Here is a 19266-nt window from a genome sequence, read left to right as displayed (position 1 = left end):
AAGGTGACAGATGAGGATCCAGTTTCATTCTCCTACATGTGGCTAGCCGATTATCCCAACACCATTTGTTGAAAAGAGTGTCCTTTCCCCACTTTATGTTAATGTTTGCTTTGTCAAAGATCGGTTGGCTTTAAGTACTTGGTTTATTTCTGGGTTCTGTATTCTGTTCCATTGGTCCATGTGCTTATTTTTATACTAGTACCATGCTGTTTTGCAACTTTGGCCTTATAGTATAGTTTGAAATCAGGTAGTGCGATGCCTCCAGATTTTTTCTTTTTGCTTCGTCTTGCTTTGGCTATGTGGGCTCTTTTTTGGTTCCATATGAATTTTAGAATTGTTTTTTCTAATTCTGTGAAGAATGATGGTGGTATTTTGATGGGGATTGCAATGAATTTGTAGATTGCTTTTGCTGGTATGGTCATTTTCACAGTATTGATTCTACCCATTCACGAGCCTGGGATGTGTTTCAATTTATTTGTGTTGTTTATGATTACTTTCAGCAGTGTTTTGTAGTTTTTCTTGTAGATGTCTTTTGACTCCTTGGTTAGGTATATTTCTAAGTATTTTATTTTTTTGCAGCTATTGTAAAAGGGGTTGAGTTCTTGATTTGATTCTTGGCTTGGTCACTGTTGGTGTATAGAAGAGCTACTGACTTCTGTACATTCATCTTGTATCTGGAAATTTTGCTGAATTCTTTTATCAGTTATAGAAGCTTTCTGGAGGAGTCTTCAGGGTTTTCAAGGTAAATGATCATATCGTCAGCAAACAGTGACAGTTTGACTTCCTTTTTACCAACTTGGATGCCCTGTATTTCTTTCTCTTGTCTGATTACTCTGGCTAGGACTTCAGTAGTATGTTGAAGAGGAGTGGTCAGAGTGGGCATCCTTGTCTTGTTTCAGTTCTCAGAGGGAACGCTTTCAGTTTTTCCCCATTCAGTATTATGTTGCCTGTGGTTTTGTCATAGATGGCTTTTATTACATTGAGGTATGTCCCTTGTATGCTAATTTTGCTGAGAATTGTAACCATAAAGCAATGCTGGATTTTATCAAATGCTTTTTCTGCATCTGTTGAGATGATCATGTGATTTTTGTTTTTAATTCTGTTTATGTGATGTGTCACATTTATTGACTTGCATATGTTAAACCATCCCTGCATCCCTGGTATGAAACTCACTTGATCATGATGTATTGTCTTTTTGATATGTTGTTGGATTCAGTTAGCTAATATTTTGTTAAGGATTTTGGCATCTATGTTCATCAAGGATATCGGTCTGTAGTTTTCTTTTTTGGTTAGGTCCTTTCCTGGTTTTGGTATTAGGGTGATGCTGGCTTCATAGAATGAATTAGAGAGAGTTCCTTCTTTCTCTTATCTTGTGGAATAGTGTCAAAAGGATTGGTACCAATTCTTCTTAGAAAGTCTTCTTAGAATCTGTCTGGTCGTGGACATTTTTTGTTGTTGGTAATTTTGTAATTACCATTTCAGTCTTGCAGCTTGTTACTGGTCTGTTCAAGGTATCTAATTCTTCCTGATTTAAGCTAGGAGGGTTATATCTTTCCAGAATTTATCCAACTCTTCTAGGTTTTCTAGTTGATGTGTGTAAAGGTGTTCATAGTAGCCTTGAATGATCTTTTGTATTTCAGTGGTGTCAACTGTAATATCTCCTGTTTCATTTCTTAATGAGGTTATTTGGATTTTCTCTCTTCTTTTCTTGGTTAATCTTACTAATGGTCTATCAGTTTTACTTACCTTTTCAAAGAACCATCTTTTTGTTTCATTTATCTTTTGTATTTTTGTTTGTTTGTTTGTTTCAATTTCATTTAGTTCTGCTCTGATCTTGGTTATTTCCTTTCTTCTGCTGGGTTTGGGTTTGGTTTTTCTTGTTTCTCTAGTTCCTTGAGGTGTGACCTTAGAATGTCAGTGTGTGCCCTTTCAGTCTTTTTGATGTAGGCGTTTAGGGCTATGAACTTTCCTCTTGGCACCACCTCTGCTTATATCCCAGAGGTTTTGGTAGGTTGTGTCATTATTGTCGTTCAGTTCGAAGAATTTTTTAATTTCCACCTTGATTTCGTTTTTGACCCAATGCTCATTCAGGAGTAGGTTATTTAATTTCCATGTATCAGCATGGTTTTGAAGGTTCCTTTTGGAGTTGATTTCCAGTTTGATTCCACTGAGAGAGTGCTTGATATAATTTCAATTTTCTTAAATTTATTGAGTCTTGTTTTATGGCCTATCATATAGTCTATCTTGGAGAAATTTCCACGTGCTGTTGAATAGAATGTGTATTCTGAGGTTGTTGGATGAAATGTTCTGTATATATCTTTTAAGTCCATTTGTTCCAAGGTATAGTTTAAATCCATTGTTTCTTTGTTGACTTTCTGTCTTGATGACTTGCCTAGTGCTGTCAGTGGAGTATTGAAGTCCCCCACTATTATTGTGTTGCTGTCTATCTCATTTCTTAGGTCTATTAGTAATTGTTGTATAAATTTTGGCGCTCCAGTGTTAGATGCATATATTTTTAGGATTATGATATTTTCCTGTTGGACAAGGCCTTTTACTATTATATAATGTCCCACTTTGTCTCTTTTAACTGATATTGCTTTAAAGTTTGTTTTGTCTGATATAAGAATAGCTACCCCTACTCTCTTGTCCATTTGTGTGAAATGCCTTTTTCCACCTCTTTACTTTATGTGAGTCCTTATGTGTTAGGTGAGTCTCCTGAAGGCAGCAGATAGTTGGTTGGCGAGTTCTTATCCATTCTGCAGTTCTGTATCCTTAAAGTAGAGCATTTAGGCCATTTACATTCAATGTTGGAATTGAGATGTGAGGTACCATTGCATTCATTGTGCTATTTGTTGCCTGTGGACTTTGGTTTTTTGTTTTTTGTTTTTGCCTTTTAACTTGTATTTTTGTTTTATAGGTCCTGTGTGATTTATGCTTTAAAGAGGTTCTGTTTTGATGTGTTTCCAGGATTTGTTTCAAGATTTAGAGCTCCTTTTAGCAGTTCTTTTAATGGTGGCTTGTTAGTGACGAATTCTCTCAGCATTTGTTTGTCTGAAAAAGACTGTATCTTCTTTCATATATGATGCTTAGTTTTGCTGAATACAAAATTCTTAGCTGATAATCGTTTTGTTTGAGGAGGCTGAAGATAGAGCCCCAATCCCTTCTAGCTTGTAGGGTTTCTGCTGAGAAATCTGCTGTTAATCTGATAGGTTTTCTTTTATAGGTTACCTGGTGCTTCTGTCTCACAGCTCTTAAAATTCTTTACTTTGTCTTAACTTTGGATAACCTGATGACAATATGCCTAGGCAATGATCTTTTTGCAATGAATTTCCCAGGTGTTCTTTGTTCTTCTTGCACTTGGATAGCTAGGTCTCTAGCAAGGCCAGGGAAGTTTTCCTCTATTATTCCTAAAGATATGTTTTCCAAGCTTTTATAATTCTCTTCTTCCTCGGGAAAACTGGTTATTCTTAGGTTTGGTCATTTAACATAATCCCAGACTTCTTGGAGGCTTTGTTCATATTTTCTTATTCTTTTTTCTTTGTCTTTGTGGGATTGGGTTAATTCAAAGACCTTGTCTTTGAGCTCTGAATTTCTTCTACTTTTTCAATTCTATTCCTGAGACTTTCCAGAGCATTTTGCATTACTATAAGTGTGTCCAATTTTTCCTGGATTTTTTATTTATTTTTTTTTCTTTAAGCTATCTATTTTCTTGGCTATTTCTCCCGTCACTTCTTGTATCGTTTTTTGGATTTCCTTGCATTGAGCTTCACCTTTCTCTGGTGCCTCCCTGATTAGCTTAATAACTAACCTCCTGAATTCTTTTTCAGGTAAATCAGGGATTTCTTCTTGGGTTGGATCCATTGCTGGTAAACTAGTGTGATTTTGGGGGGTGCTGTTCAAGAGCCTTATTTTGTCATATTACCAGCATTGGTTTTGTGGTTCCTTCTCATTAGGGTAAGCTCTGTCAGAGGGAAGGTCTAGGGCTGAAGGCTGTTGTTCAGATTCTTTTGTCCCATGGAGTGCTCCCTTCATGGAGTAATCTCCCCCTTTTCCTATGGAGGTGGCTTCCTGTGAGCCCAACTGCAGTGATTGTTGTCTCTCTTCTGGGTCTGGCCACGCAGTAAGTCTGCCCAGCTCCGGGCTGGTTCTGAGGGTTGTCTGCACAGAGTCCTGTGATGTGAACCGTCTATGGGTCTCTCAGCCATGGATACCAGCACCTGTTCCAGTGGAGGTGGTGGGGGGTGTGCAGTGGACTTCGTGAGGGCTCTTAGCTTTGGTGGTTTAATGCTCTATTTTTGTGCGGGTTGGCCTCCTGCTGTGAGGTGGCGCTTTCCAGAAAGCATCAGCTGTAGTAGTTTGAGAGGGACTGGCTGTGGGCTGGGCTGTAGAACTCCCAAGATTATATGTCCTTTGTTTTCTGCTACCAGAGTGGGTAGGGAAGGACGATCAGGTGGGGGTGGGGCCAGGCGTATCTGAGCTCAGACTCTCTTTGGACCGGTCTTGCTGCAGCTCCTGTGGGGGATGGGTGTGAGATTCCCAGGTCACTGGAGTTATGTACCTAGGAGGATTATGGCTGCCTCTGCTGAGTCATGCAGGTTTTCAGAGAAGTGGTGGAAAGCTGGCAGTCACAGGCCTCACCCAGCTCCCATGCAAACTGAAAGTCCAGTCTCACTCCCACCATGCCCCCATCCAACCGCCCCAAGTCTGTTTTCGGGCAGTGGGTGAGACAGGCTTGAGAACTTGCCTCAGGCTACCCACCTCCCAGCTGCAAAAGAAAGGGCTTGTTCTTCCCACCTGTGGAGAATCTGCACACCAGATTTGCGCCCTCCCCCGAGTTCTGGCCAGGAGGCTTCTAACCCTGTTCAAATTGTTACAAATTTCAGCTAGAGATTTCCTTCTCCCTGTTGAGTTTTACCCTCGCTCCTCTGGCTGCCCTCCTGGTGGATCCCTGTGGTGCCAGGCAGGAATGACCTGCTTGGGGACCCAGGGAGCTCCCAGGGCCTTTCCCGCTGCTTCCTCTACTTCTGTATTTCGCTCGACTCTCTAAATTGACTCAGCTCCAGGTAAGGTCGGAAACTTCTCCTGCAAACAGACCTTCCTTTTCTCCAGTGGGCGTGTGTGTTTGGGAGAGGATGCTCTCCCTTTCCCACTTCCGCAGTTTGGGCACTCACAGTATTTGGGGTGTCTTCCAGGTCCTGCAAGAGCAGTCTGCTTCCTTCAGAGGTCTGTCGGTCCTCTCGGGGTTGCTGGTTTGTTCTTGCAGTCGATCTGGAGCTAAAATTCACAATGCAAGCCTCTGCACATTGCTCTGTTCAGAGCTGCAATCTAGTCCTGCCTCCCGTCCACCATGATCCTATGTGTGCTGCATTACTTTACTTAAAGGTGAAGGTGAATTTTCTGTGTGTGGTTAGAAGCTTGGAAATTATGCATTTCCTTCTAGTCTGAACTTACAATTCAGAAGAGAACAATGAGCCTGTAAAATTTCAAATATTTAGCAACCACCTATTTTGAATAAGATATTCTACCATACAGAGTAGCAAAAGACTTGGTCTCTGCTCTTGATGTTCTTACAAGATGGAGATGGAAATAAACTGCCAGGAACTGCAGGGTCTGAGCTTTTAACCTACTTTCAAGCTAACAAACTAGTCTGTTACTGTTTACTGTTACTTTCCTGGCAAAAAGACATGAGATTCCTGGTTCAGAGACAAGGGACTTTATTATTCATGGCAAAAGCAGTAGCCAGAGCTCTAGGCTAGTGTGTGTCAGTTCCCCATGCCCTGGGGTCTCAGGGTGATGCTAAGGGCCCACCACGGATGCCTGCACATGTGTGGTGAGCTGCGTTATGGGGCAGAAACACTGAGCTTGGGGAATCCCTGTCTTTGTAGAGAACCTACACTTTGTCTAGGGGAGACGTTACCTCCTTCCTCAAGGTTTCTTGGTGCAAACACAGCCCTGGGAAATGGGTCAGGTAAAGAGCAGTCAAGGCCTTACATTCTTGGCATACCCAGCAGGAACTTCAGGGCATGCTCAGGGCCCATGGCAGACTGCCTCTCCCAACATAGATCTGCACGGAACGTCAGGTCCATGACCAATGTCTACCATCACAAGGCAACAAAGAATAAATGGTGTGGGCATTTAAGATAATAATTCAGATAAAGCCCAACACCCATCCCTTATAATTATTACCACATATACAGCTATTGCTGGATATTTCTTCCGCTTGTGTTTTATGCTGTGGAACTCTCCTTATCATCATACCTTCTATCATTATATCTTGACTGATAATAGGTTCCCATGAGACCTCTCTCCTATTCAAAGAGAGAAGACATAGGAAAAAAACTACTGAATGAACTAGCGGAAATAAATGTAAGATAGTTTGTCCTCATTTTGTCCAGCAAGCAAAGGTATCAACGTCCTGATTTTTTTTTTTTTTTTTTTTTTTTTTGAGACAGAGTCTCACTCTGTCACCCAGGCTGGAGTGCGGTGGTGTGATCTTGGCTCACTGCAACCTCTGCCTCCCAGGTTTGAGTGATTCTCCTGCCTCAGCCTCCTGAGTAGCTGGGATTACAGGTGCCTGCCACCACGCCTGGCTAATTTTTGTATTTTTAGTAGAGGCAGGGTTTCATCATGTTGGCCAGGCTGGTTTCAAACTCCTGACCTCAGATGATCTGACCTTAGCCTCCAAAAGTGCTGAGATTACAGGTGTGAGCTACTGAGAGGTGACAGCGTGCTGGCAGTCCTCGCAGCCTTCCCTGGCTCTCGGTGCCTCCTCTGCCTGGGCTCCCACTTTGGCGGCACTTGAGGAGCCCTTCAGCCCACGCTGCACTGTGGGAGCCCCTTTCTGGGTTTGCCAAGGCCAGAGTCGGTTCCCTCACCTTGCAGGGAGGTGTGGAGGGAGACGCGTGGGCGGGAACCGGGGCTGCGCGTGGTACTTGCAGGCCAGCAGGAGTTCCAAGTGGGCGTGGGCTCCGCGGCCCCGCACTGGGAGTGGCCAGCTGGCCCTGCCTGCTGGAGCAGTGAGGGGCTTAGCACCTGGGCCAGCAGCTGCTGTGCTCAATTTCTCACCGGGCCTTAGCTGCCTTCCCTCTGGGCAAGGCTCAGGACCTGCAGCCTACCATGCCTGAGCCTCCCCCGTCTCCGTGGGCTCCTGTGCGGCCCGAGCCTCCCGGGCGAGCGCCGCCTCCTGCTCCATGGCACCCAATCCCATACACCACCCAAGGGCTGAGGAGTGCAGGCGCACAGCGCGGTACTGGCAGGCAGCTCCACCTGCGGGATCCACCGGGTGAAGCCAGCTGGGCTCCTGAGTCTGGTGGGGACTTGGAGAACCTTTATGTCTAGCTAAGGGATTATAAATACACCAGTCGGCACTCTGTGTCTAGCTCAAGGTTTGTAAACACACCAATCAGCACCCTGTGTCTAACTCAGGGTTTGTGAATGCACCAATCGACACTCTGTATCTAGCTACTCTGGTGGGGACTTGGAGAGCCTTTGTGTGGACACTGTATCTAGCTAATCTAGTTGTGACATGGAGAACTTTTGTGTCTAGCTCAGGAATTATAAACGCACCAATCAGCACCCTGTCAAAACGGACCAATCAGCTCTCTGTAAAATGGACCAATCGGCTCTCTGTAAAATGGACCAATCAGCAGGATGTGGGTGGGGCCAGATAAGAATAAAAGCAGGCTGCCCAAGCTAGCAGTAGCAACCCGGCCCTGTCCTTTTCTATGCTGTGGAAGCTTTGTTATTATGCTGTTTGCAATAAATCTTGCTGCTGCTCACTCTCTCGGTCCACCTTGCCTTTATGAGCTGTAACACCGTGAAGGTCTGCAGCTTCACTCCTGGAGCCAGCGAGACCACGAACCTATCGGGAGGAATGAGCAACTTCAGACACGCCGCCTTAAGAGCTGTAACACTCACCGCGGAGGTCTGTGGTTTCACTCCTAGGCCAGCGAGACCACAAACCCACCAGAAAAAACTCCAAACACATCAGAACGAACAGACTCCAGACACGCCACCTTTAAGAGCTGTAACACTCAGCGCGAGGGTCCACAGCTTCGTTCTTGAAGTCAGTGAGACCAATAACCCACCAATTCCAGATACACTACCACGACCCGCTCAATGTCCTGAACTGTTTAATGTTTTTAACGTGTAGGCTATATGTATGTACATTGTCATTGCTGTCGCTTTTCTCTGTTAATCTTATTATTAATATCCATAACTTACGTAGACTGGAGAGATTTTCAAAATAATTTATCAACTGTAGCTTTGCCCAAGTATCTAAAACTTTTTTCTCTTGTTTTTGTTCTATACATCATTTATTAGATACATAACTTCCTTAACTTTATAACATTAATAACATCAAAAAGCTAATAACATCAGAATATCCAGTAGCAAAACTCAGTATCAGCAATGAAAGACCCGCCTCTCTCTCATATTCGCCGTTTTGAATCACCTTGTAAAGGAATTTTATAGAATGTGGATTTCAGTATTTGTAAAGGACTCTGATAAAACTTTCAAAAAGCAGAGATAGCCTAGCCAACATGGTGAAACCCTATCTCTACTTAAAAAAATATACATCAAAATTAGACGGGAGTGATGGCGTGCTCCTGTAGTCCAGATACTTGGGAGGCTGAGGCAGGAGAATCCCTTGAACCCGGGAGGTGGAGGTTGCAGTGAGCCGAGATCACGCCACTGCACTCCAGCCTGGGCGAAAGAGTGAGACTACATCTCAAAAAAAAAAAAAAAAAAGGCAGAGATAATGTCATTTAAGCCAAAAAAGAATTCTGAAGAAACACATAAACGCAATACCAGGTGGTTTGCGGTTACTTAGAAAAACATCAAGTATTTAAACAGCTGGAGGGGAAAAGTCTTTCTGGCATGTATTTCAAATGAATACCTTTCATGAGACGTAAAGCAGGCTGCCTCATGATGCGTATGCAAACAGAGGTCAGAGTTGGTGTTTCTGTCTGTGAGTAGTTTCATTTGGTAGCATATGCGAAATTAATATTATTTGTAGAAAGGCATTCATTTAAATGACAGTGGATTATGTGGTCAATAAAGTTGAAATTTCTAGATTGAGGACAAAGTAAAGGTATTGCTTATATTTTAGCAATGGTACATTAAGAGATGTCGCTATTGGCCGGGAGCAGTGGCTCACGTCTATAATCCCAGCACTTTGGGAGGCCAAGGCGGCTGGATCACCTCAGGTCATCCTGGCCAACATGGTGAAACCCCGTCTCTACTAAAAATAACAAAAATCAGCTGGGCGTGGTGGCGTATGCCTGTAATCCCAGCTACTCGGGAGGCTGAGGCAGGAGAATCACTTGAAGTTGGGAGGTGGAAGTTGCAGTGAGCCGATATCGCGCCACTGCATTCCAGCCTGGGCGACACAGCGAGACTCCATCTCAAAAAAAAAAAAAAAAGATGTCGCTATTTTAGTTATAACTTTGAATTGTTCTCCTGAGATATATAAAATACATACTTAAGAGTTCTAATTATGACTTCATTCACCAGCAGGATTGTTTTAAGACTACAGTGAGTCCAACTTCCTGCTCAAAAATGTGCTAAAGCTTCTGGCTGAGCCTTAAGACATTTTAGAAGCTCTTCCTCACAGGAGAGAAAAGGCACTCAGCCAGCTACTGCGCACATGGATAAATCTGTCAGTTTTCTAGAATCCAGCACAAAATTCATGTCACTTAGAGGAAAACTATGCTGAGGTGTATCTTTGAGGTGAGAATGGTAATTTCATCAAAGAAATGCCCTCTTCTGTAGGGAGCCTGCGGAGGCCCCCAGGCCCCTGAAGTCTGATGGATCTGGAGAGGGGAATGAGGACACACAGGGGCCCGCAGATACATCAAGGACATCCGCAAGGTGAAGGCACATTTGAACTCTGTAGGGATGACTCCTGGTCCACACCTCCAGTTCTGATCTCCATCGTCAGCCCCAGCCCCAAATTTCCAACCATTTGCCAACATCTCAGTGGGTCAGGCCCACTGGTAACTCAGCCTCCACATGTCCCAGACCACTTCAGGTGTTTTATTTTTTATTTTTTTTCTTCCAGACAGAGTCTCGCTTTGTCGCCCAGGCTGGAATACAATGGCATGATCTCGGCTCACGGCTACCTCCACCTCCCAGGTTCAACCGATTCTCCTGCCTCAGCCTCCTGAGTAGCTGGGATTACAGGCATGTGCCACCTCTCCCGGCTAATTTTTTTATATTTTTAGTGGAGACGGGGTTTCACCATGTTGGTCAGACTGGTCTCGAACTCCTGACCTCAAGTGATCCTCCCGCCTCGCATGAGCCACTGCGCCTGGCCTGCTGAGGTGTTCGTTAAGACTGCTTCTCTCCCACAGTCCCTGGCCCACGCGCAGGCATCTCATGTTTCCACTCACCAGAATCATCTTTCTACTATATCTGCACCCTCATCCCGGTCTCCCCTACTCCAGTAAACAGCCACGCCCTTTTGTTCTGAACTTCAGAGTCACCCTCAGACCGGCATCTGCATGCCTCCTCCTGGGCTCTGCTTGACTCCTCTCCGGTACCGCCTCACGGGTCACTGCCCTGTGTCCAGTCTCACTTCAACCGATGTTTACTCCATCTATAGTTCTGTGCTAGGCCCTCCCTGCAAAGGTGTCTTTCTCAATCAATTCTCAAAACAGGTTGCATGGGCTAGGCACCGTGGCTTGCACTTGTAATCCCAGCACTTTGGGAGGCCGAGGAGGGTGGATCACCTGAGGTCAGGAGTTCGAGACCAGCCTGGCCAACATGGTGAAACCCCATCTCTACTAAAAATACAAAAAAAATTAGCCAGCCATGGTGGCGGGCACCTGTAGACCCAGCTACTCAGGAGGCTGAGGCAGGAGAATCGCTTGAACCTGGGAGATGGAAGTTGCAGTGAGCCAAGATCACGCTACTGCACTCCAGCATGGACTGGAGCAAGACTCCATCTCAAAAACAAAACAAAACAAAACAAAAACGCCACCACCACCACAAACAACAACAACAACAAAAAACAGGTTGTATGACCTCTTTCCCAGCATCACACATCTTCAGTGGCATTCCATTACCTGCAAAATACAATCTAGGCTCCTCAGCCTCCCTCCAGCCCCACCTGTGCCTGCTGTTTGCCACAACTAAGCCCCCATCCTGCTCCATGTCTAGCAGCTGTAGGAGCAGGGAGGGCAGTGGAGATGCCTATAGTAGGATCCCTAAGGCAGTCCGCCTAGTCCTGCTACAAACATTAGAAAACGCAAACAAAAAAGCCACCAAGAGCTTCTGGCCAAGATGGAGTAGCAGGACATTGGATTTAACCTCCTGCCTGAAACAGCCCCCCAAAATGAACACAGTGTAGGAAGACACTATCAGGCAATGAAGAACCCTGATCCCTGAGGGGTGGGTGATAAATGAGGTGAGCCCTACGATTGCCCCAGCTTACTGCCTTGAGACAGTTTCCAGGTTCAGTGCTGGAAAGGGAACACAGCAGGGTCCCTGCAGACTCCCTGGGGTGGGCGTAGAGGGCTGAGAGTCTGAGGGGGATCAAGGCCTGGAGACAAGAGTTCTTAGGACAGAGCACCATCGAGGGCAGAGCTGCACCAGGAGAGAAACATGGGGGTCTTCAGAGGGTCTGCCTGGAGTTGTCAGTTGGATGCTGGTTAGCACGTGCATATGAAGAAACGACCTGAGTCTGGGAAAAGAACTGCCTGAAAGGATTAGTGATAACAGTGCCTGGTGCTCACACAGGAACAGTGCCTGTTCCCACATCATTCAGGGACTCGGATAGGCCTTACCTCCAAAGTGGGGAATAGTTAGCCCTAAACTGAGCCTTGCCTTGGTTCTGCCTAACGCTTCTTCTTTTTTTTTTTTTTCTTTTTATGAGATGGAGTCTCGTTCTGTTGCCCAGGCTGGAGTGCAGTGGCGCGATCTTGGCTCACTGCAAGCTCCACCTCCTGGGTTCACGCCATTCTCCTGCCTCAGCCTCCCAAGTAGCTGGGACTACAGGCGCCGGCCACCACGCCCGACTAATTTTTTGTATTTTTAGTAGAGACGGGGTTTCACCGTGTTAGCCAGGATGGTCTCGATCTCCTGACCTTGTGATCCACCCACCTTGGCCTCCCAAAGTGCTGGGATTACAGGCATGAGCCACCACGCCCGGCCGGTTCTGCCTAACGCTTCTTAAGTTCAGGACTCATTTTTCTGCCTTCACATGTGCATGGGGTTCTATAAACTTGGGAAAGTGTTTAAACACTGTATGTTAACCACCTTCCATGATATTATCCTAATCACACTTCTTTACTGTTTCACAGTGTGGGCTTGAGAACTGATGAGCAGCTTCTGAGGAAGGGGATTGGGCAGTGATGTTTGTAGGAGAACAGGGAATTGTCCAGAGGATGTTACAGATTGGAACACATGGGCTCATGTATACATGAACGAGCCCTGAGGATGCTGCTAGACTCTGTGTGCCCACATCCTAGCACACGCACAGAGCATGTCAGTGAGGGTGGCATTCCCCGTCTCCTCTTGAGCACTTGCCAACCCCTTGATTAGATAACTGAAACTAATCTGATTAATGCCATAGCCTTTGTGGTGAAAGATTCATGTTTTCTGATAGCTTTTTGAGTGTGTCCAGTATTTTGTACACTTGTATATGAAAAGATTTAATTGAAGGACATACTATCATTCTAAATCTTTTTTTTTTCTATTTCTGACATGGATTTGAGAGTAAGCTTCTCAATGAAGGCTATATTGCACTTCGACTGTTAAAACTCCATCAAGTTTACCCTCTAAGAGCACAAGATGGAGATGTCTGCTTTCATGATCTTAGTCATCTTATATTTTTATTTATAATGCTCAAGGTTCTAGCTAGCACCACGAGGCAAAAAAAAAGAACAATAATAATAATAAAAGGTAATAAAATGGAAGGAAATCAATAAAACACTTGCAGATGGCCTGATTGTCTACACAGAAAATCCCCTGGCATCTTCAAAAAATTGTTAGAACTAATAATTTCAGCAAAGTCCCAAGATATCAATTTCAGCAAAGTCTCAAGATATCACATAGACATACAAAAATCAATCACATTTCTATGTACTAACAACATTTGGAAAATGAAATTAAAAACATAAAAAGGAACCTAAACCTAAAACTCACATCTTATTCAAAATTTAACTTAAAATGGATGATATTAGCTGGGCACAGTGGTATGCATGTGTGGTCTCAGTTACTGAGGAGGCTGAGGTGGGAGGATCACTTGAGCCCAGAAGGTCGAGGCTGCAGTGAGCCATGACTGTGCCACTGCACTCCAGCCTGGGCAACAGAGCAAGACCCTGTCTCAGAACAAAAATGGAGCATAGACTTAAATGCAAACTATGAAACTATAAAAACTTTCAGAAAAAAATGGGAGAAACTGTTCACAATCTGGGGCTTGACAAAGTTTTAGACTTGACACCAAAAGTATGGAACAAAAGTTGATCAGTTGGATCTCAAGAACATTAAAATTTTTTGTTCTTTAAAAACTCAGATATAATGGACTTAATGCTTGTGTCCCTCCAAAATTCATATGTTGAAATTCTAATTCCCAATATGTTATTATTTAATAGGAGGCAGGGCCTTTGGGAGGTTGTTAGGTCATGAGGGTAGATTCCACATGATGGGATTAATACACTTTTAAAAGAGGCACCAGAGAGCTCCCCTGCCCTCTTTTCACTAAGCAAGGACACAGTGAGACATTAGCCATCTTCAACCAGGAAGCAGGCCCTTACCAGAATCCAACAGGCTGGCACCCTGATCTCAGACTTCCAGACTTCAGGACTGTGAGAAGTGACTGTTGTTAGAGCTACCTGGTCTATGGTATTTTTGTAATAGCAGCCTGAGCTGACTAAGACTCTATGTGAAACATGAAAAGACAAGCTACAGTCTGGGGGAAAATATTTGCAAACCACCTATCTGACAAAGAACTAGTACCTAGAATACATAAAGAACTCTCATAACTCAACACTACAAAAAAAAAAAAGTAAACATTACAATCAATTAGAAAATGGGCAAAAAACATGAACAGACATTTTACCAAAGAGGATCTCTAGATGGCAAATAAGCACATGAAAAGATGTTCGACATCATTAGCATCAGGGAAATGCAAAATAAAACATTTTATAAAGGAGTATCATTATGCACCTATGAGAATAGCTAAAACACAAACAGTGACACCAAATGTTGGCAATCATGCAGAGAAACCCAATCACTCATACACTGCTGGTGGGAATTAAAAATTGTTCAGCCACTCTGGAAGGCATTTTTTCAGTTTTTAAAATAAAACTAAACATGCAATTACTGTACAAATCAGCAATTGTGCTCCTGGACATTTATCTCGGAGAAACAAAAACTTATGTTCACACAAAAACCTATAAACAAAGGCTCACAACAGCTTTATTTGTAATAGCCCACAACTGGAAAACTGGAATACCAAAAAACCAGATATTCTTCAGTTGTTGAGGATTAAACCAATGTGGTACATCCATATGGTGGAATACCACTCAGCAATAAAAAGAAGTCAACTACTGATACATGCAACAACCTGGATGAGTCTAAAGGGAATTATGCTGAGTGGAAAAAGCCAATTCTGAAAGGTTACATGCTGTGCAATCCACTTATGCAACATTCTTGAAATGACAAAATTATAAAAAATGGAGAACAGACTAGCGATTGACAGGGGATCAGAACTGGGGGTTAAATGGGGAGCAGGGAAAGGGAGGTGAGTGTGTCTATAAAAGGTCAACACTGGGGGGACCCGTGTGGTGATGGGACTATTCTGCATCCTGACTATACCAATGTCAGTATCTGGCTGTGATATTGTACTATAGATTTGCCAAATGTTACCATTAAGGGAGAATGAGTAAAGGGTACCCAAGATCTCTCTGTAGGATTTCTTACAATTGCATGTGAATATACAATTATCTCAAGATAAAAAGTTTCACTTGAGTTATAGGTTGTGTTTGATAAAAATGGCCCACCTCCTTAAATGTTGGCCACCTTATGATTTCCTTAGACATGTTACTGACTACCTAATAATTATCAAAATTGTAAAACACATTGTTGAGTATTATGAATACTTTGCTCATCATTGTAACGGAATAAACGAATGTGTTTCTATGAAAGGCCAATTTTGATTATGAGGAAAACACAGACACACACAAAACAAAACCTCCATGAAGTGGATGGTCATCGACCTCGGCTCATTCTGGGCCCTGGCAGGAGGGCTAAGGATTCTGCTATCTATTTCGGGATGAGGCTGACATTCTCCTGCACCTTTCCTCGCAGGATCTCCTCTTCAGCGTGTGTGCCCTCAACGTCCTGTCCACTATCGTGTGTGCGCTGGCCACAGCCATGTGCTGTATGCAGATGGTCTCCTCCGATGTCCTGCAGATGGTGAGTGGCCTGATCCCCTCCTCCTCTGCGCGGTTTGAAACCAGTGTAGGAGTGGACGCTTCTGGCTTCAGCCAGATGCTGTGAGGACAGCGGCCCCTGACAGTCCATGGCACCTGGAGGCCACCTTGTGTTGCCCTCTGGAAGACCAAGCATCTGCACACGTGGCGCCGCTGATGTATTTATTTTAGGTGTTGTTGGAGCTCCATATTGACAGGGTTCTGCCACTGTCGTGTTCTCTAGGATGGCCCCTGGCATGTGCCCTTGAGTCATGTAGTGAAATTCCTGCAGCCCTGGACATCCCCTGGACCCAGCACCTCCAAAGCAAGGTGCCTTCCTCGGGCTTCAGAATTCTCTTTTAATCCGGGAAGTTTAGAGGTGTTAGAAGATCAGTTCTTTTCCAGTTGGAAAATTGCTAACCTGTGCATTTTTGATTTGCTAATGAACCCTGAGCTCATACTCCAGAGGCCAGTCACTGGCCATCATTTGACCCTTTGCCCAGGGTCATACACAAGAAGACCTGTCACTCCCAGGGGCAGCGAGGAGGCCCGGAGCATGGTTCACTAACACATGTTATAATATGTGGGTTATTAATACACATTTATAAATACACATCTCATAAATAATGAACGCTCTTCCTGTTTCAATGTGAATGGAACACAGCCTACTGATCAGAATGCTACTGAGTACAACAAAGAGAAATTGATGAAAAAATATTGTTCTTCCATGGTAAGGGTAGGAATATCTATGCGCACGCGTGTGTGTGTGTATGAGTGTGTGTCTGTCTCTCTCTGTCTCTGTGTGTGTCTTTCTGCCTCGGTCTCTTTCTGTCTCTCTGTCTCTCAATTTGCCCCTTTGAGACCTACGCTGCTTCCCACGCAATGATTTATGCATCTTATGCAAGAAAAGGCAGCTGGTTCTTATAGTGGGTTTTTTTAATGTGCTCTTCTTTGTCATTCACCCTGTGGCAGTCAACATCCAGTTAATCAAGATACAGGGCCAGAGAGCATCATTACCAAGACGTTAAAAATTCTTTGGTCCTAATTGCATGCCATGGGAGTCTCTCCCTCCCGGTGTATATCCACACAGCTGTCACAGCCAGGCTGCCCTTTCTGAAAGGTATCTAATTAAGCAGTTCTAAGGTAGCCTTGAACTTCTGCCCTTGTTCATCGGGGCCTCATGTTGGCAATTTTCTCCAACGTGTTCTGTAAAGGAAAGGTTAAGTACCAGGGGCTTCTCCTCACCTCAGCAGATTTTACTATTGATCTGTAAATATCACATCCATTTGACCAAACTTACAGAACTAAAGGCATGTAAATGCTAAAAGTTTGCATTCTCCTGGTTTTATGCTTTAAAATGAAAATTGCCAACTAAATAAGAATAAAGTAAATTCTCTTTATAAGAGCATATACGAGTATAACAGCAGTGTGCAGAGTCGCTCTGTAGTTGTGATGGGTGGGGCATGAGCAGGCGTGGAGCCGTGCTTCTCAAGCCAGGCGCTCCAGGGTCTGAGTCCCACCTCTTCTGCATTCGAGGCAGGTGACTCTGGGTGTGTCACTGAACCTACCTGTGCCTCAGTTTCCTCACCTGTGAAGTGGAATGAATGGGATGCCTGGAGATCCCTAATACGTGTGATGTGTTGGATTTGAAATGTGTAGGGAATATCAGTCTGTCACTGGGACGTCGCAGCAATGTCTGCAGACGCGGTGGGCTGAGGCTCTTTACCAGCAGAAAATACTGTGCAAGGGAAAGGCAGGCTGCGGCGACAGCGGCTGCCGTCAGAAGCCCTGTTGTTTCCTCGCTGAGTACTTTGTGGGTGAGTTTGCCTCACACCCTGGCTTGGAAGCAGAAATATCCGGCTTCCTGCCAGCACATCCTTTCCGGTCTGTGACGGGTACCGCGGGAGCCCAAGGCTCTGCTCTCGTGATGAGACCCCCGGCTCTGCTGCCGGGCTTGAGAGTCATGGGCGAGGCAAAAGAGAGCTGGTGGTGGGTGAATCCACACTTCCCTGTGGATTCAGAGGGTGGCCATGGCGCCCTATGGGACTGGCACAATCTTGGGCACATCACTGCCTGTGGGACCCCGTTTCCTCGGCTCTAAAGATGAAGCGTGTGCCCTGCTGTCCTCACAGAGCTGCTGATGGGATGAGTCCGCTCATCTGTGGGAATGGGATTTGAAGGAACGTGGTGGCCACATGGAGGTCGGCTCTTGCCATGTGGGCCGAGGCTTGAGCCAGGCTGGCTGTGCGAACCATTCCCTACCAGTAGCTTCCGCAGTTCACCCCTGCGCCATTTCTGCTCCAGGAAGCTGGGCCATGAGCTTTCCAAGGGACAGTTGTAGCTATTCCTAACTAGTTTATGCCAGTGATATTTGTTGTAATTACATATTCTAGTACTATGTAAAGCCATGAAATATGAGTGCAGAAAGATAATTGTTTCTGGTACAGCACAGTCGAGTTCTTTGGAAAGGTTCGGTGAAAGGGGGTGCTGCTGAATGTATTGCTGTCCATTAGATGCAAGTGAGACAACTATGGCGGTTGCGATAAATGCTGATAAAAATCTAGAGGAGCCGGGCCTGGTGGCTCACGCTTGTAATCCCAGCACTTTGGGAGGCCGGCAGATCACCTGAGGTCAGGAGTTCAAGACCACCCTGGTCAACATGGTGAAACCCCGTCTCTACTAAAAATACAAAAATTAGCCGGGCATGGTGGCACATGCCGATAATCCCAGCTACTCGGGAGGCTGAGGCAGGAAATTGGCTTGAACCTGGGAGGCGGAGGTTGCAGTGAGCCAAGACTGTGCCATTGCACTACAGCCTGGGCGACAGAGCGAGATTGAGACTTAAAAAAAAAAAAAAATTAAAAAAAAATCTGGAGGGAGTCCACATACACATTGCTTGACAAGTGCCTTTCAGCTCTAGCCCCACTTTAAAAACACAGAAAAGGGTTGTTAGATTCATGTCTTATGGATGCAGCTTATGCAGGAAAGACCACGAGGCACTCCACACAGCAGACTGACTCTCAGAAAAGGCTTTACTCAGGCAGAAAAAGGTCAGTCCATGTATGTACAGTCAGCCCCCACTGAGCCAACCGTGGATCGACACTATTCAAGGAAAAAACACAATAAAAATAACAAAACAACAACAAAAATATAAATAAAAAACAATACAGTATAACAACTATTTCCATAGCATTTATATTGTATTAGGTGTTAGAAGTATTCTAGAGATGATTCAAAGTATACAGGAGGATGTGTGTAGGTTATGTCCACATACAACATTATTTTATGTAAAAGACTTCACCCTCCACCGATTTTAGTATCCAGTGGCAGAGGAGGTTCTGGAAGCAATTCCTTGTGGATTCAGAGGGACACTTTATAAATGGTTTTTTTCTTTTACCAGGGATCTGTGAGATGGGGGATCGGGTAACAGCTGTCTTGAGATACAATTCACCTATCATACAATTCCTCCATTTAAAATTCAGCGGTTTTAATATCTTCACAGAGTTGTACAACCTTCACCACAATCCATTTTAGAACATTTTTATTATCCCCAAGAGAGACCCTATAGCCTTTAGCAGTCACCCTATTTCCTTCCCACCTCTCAGCCCTAGGAAACCACTAATCTACTTTCTGTATCCATGGATTTGCCTGTTCTGCATGTTCCATATAAATTGAATGATACAACATGTGGCCGTTTGTGTCTGGCTTCTTTCATTTAGCATGATGTTTTCAAGGTTCATTCATGTTTCTACATGTACCAACATTTCATTCTTTTTTACGGCTCAACAGTATATCCTGTTGTATCAGTATACTACATTTTGCTTATTCATCAGTTGATGTTCATATGGGC

General features: G+C 44.5%; 1 protein-coding gene across 7 annotated transcripts in view, besides 2 other annotated features; it reads left to right on the top strand.

The window, feature by feature from the left end:
• Positions 1-19266, top strand: part of ENTREP2 (endosomal transmembrane epsin interactor 2) — a 557698-nt gene that overhangs the window by 508256 nt on the left and 30176 nt on the right. For all 7 annotated transcript variants that reach the window (NM_001387217.1, NM_001387215.1, XM_047432323.1 and 4 more), the window contains one exon: positions 15313-15420. In NM_001387217.1, coding sequence (NP_001374146.1) covers positions 15313-15420 — 108 coding nt within the window. The remainder of the gene's footprint in view (positions 1-15312; positions 15421-19266) is intronic.
• Positions 4220-4728: an enhancer, noted in NCBI's record as "H3K27ac-H3K4me1 hESC enhancer chr15:29454629-29455137 (GRCh37/hg19 assembly coordinates)". NCBI's record gives its function as "activates a minimal SCP1, AML or CMV promoter by ChIP-STARR-seq in naive and primed H9 embryonic stem cells {active_cell/tissue: H9 hESC(naive and primed)}" and the evidence as "EXISTENCE:reporter gene assay evidence [ECO:0000049][PMID:30033119]".
• Positions 4729-5238: an enhancer, noted in NCBI's record as "H3K27ac-H3K4me1 hESC enhancer chr15:29454119-29454628 (GRCh37/hg19 assembly coordinates)". NCBI's record gives its function as "activates a minimal SCP1, AML or CMV promoter by ChIP-STARR-seq in primed H9 embryonic stem cells {active_cell/tissue: H9 hESC(primed)}" and the evidence as "EXISTENCE:reporter gene assay evidence [ECO:0000049][PMID:30033119]".

This window comes from Homo sapiens, chromosome 15 (assembly GCF_000001405.40).
Source record: "Homo sapiens chromosome 15, GRCh38.p14 Primary Assembly".
Taxonomy (NCBI): domain Eukaryota; kingdom Metazoa; phylum Chordata; class Mammalia; order Primates; family Hominidae; genus Homo; species Homo sapiens.
Note: the sequence above shows the minus strand (reverse complement) of the source record. Positions and strands in the feature narration are given on the sequence as shown.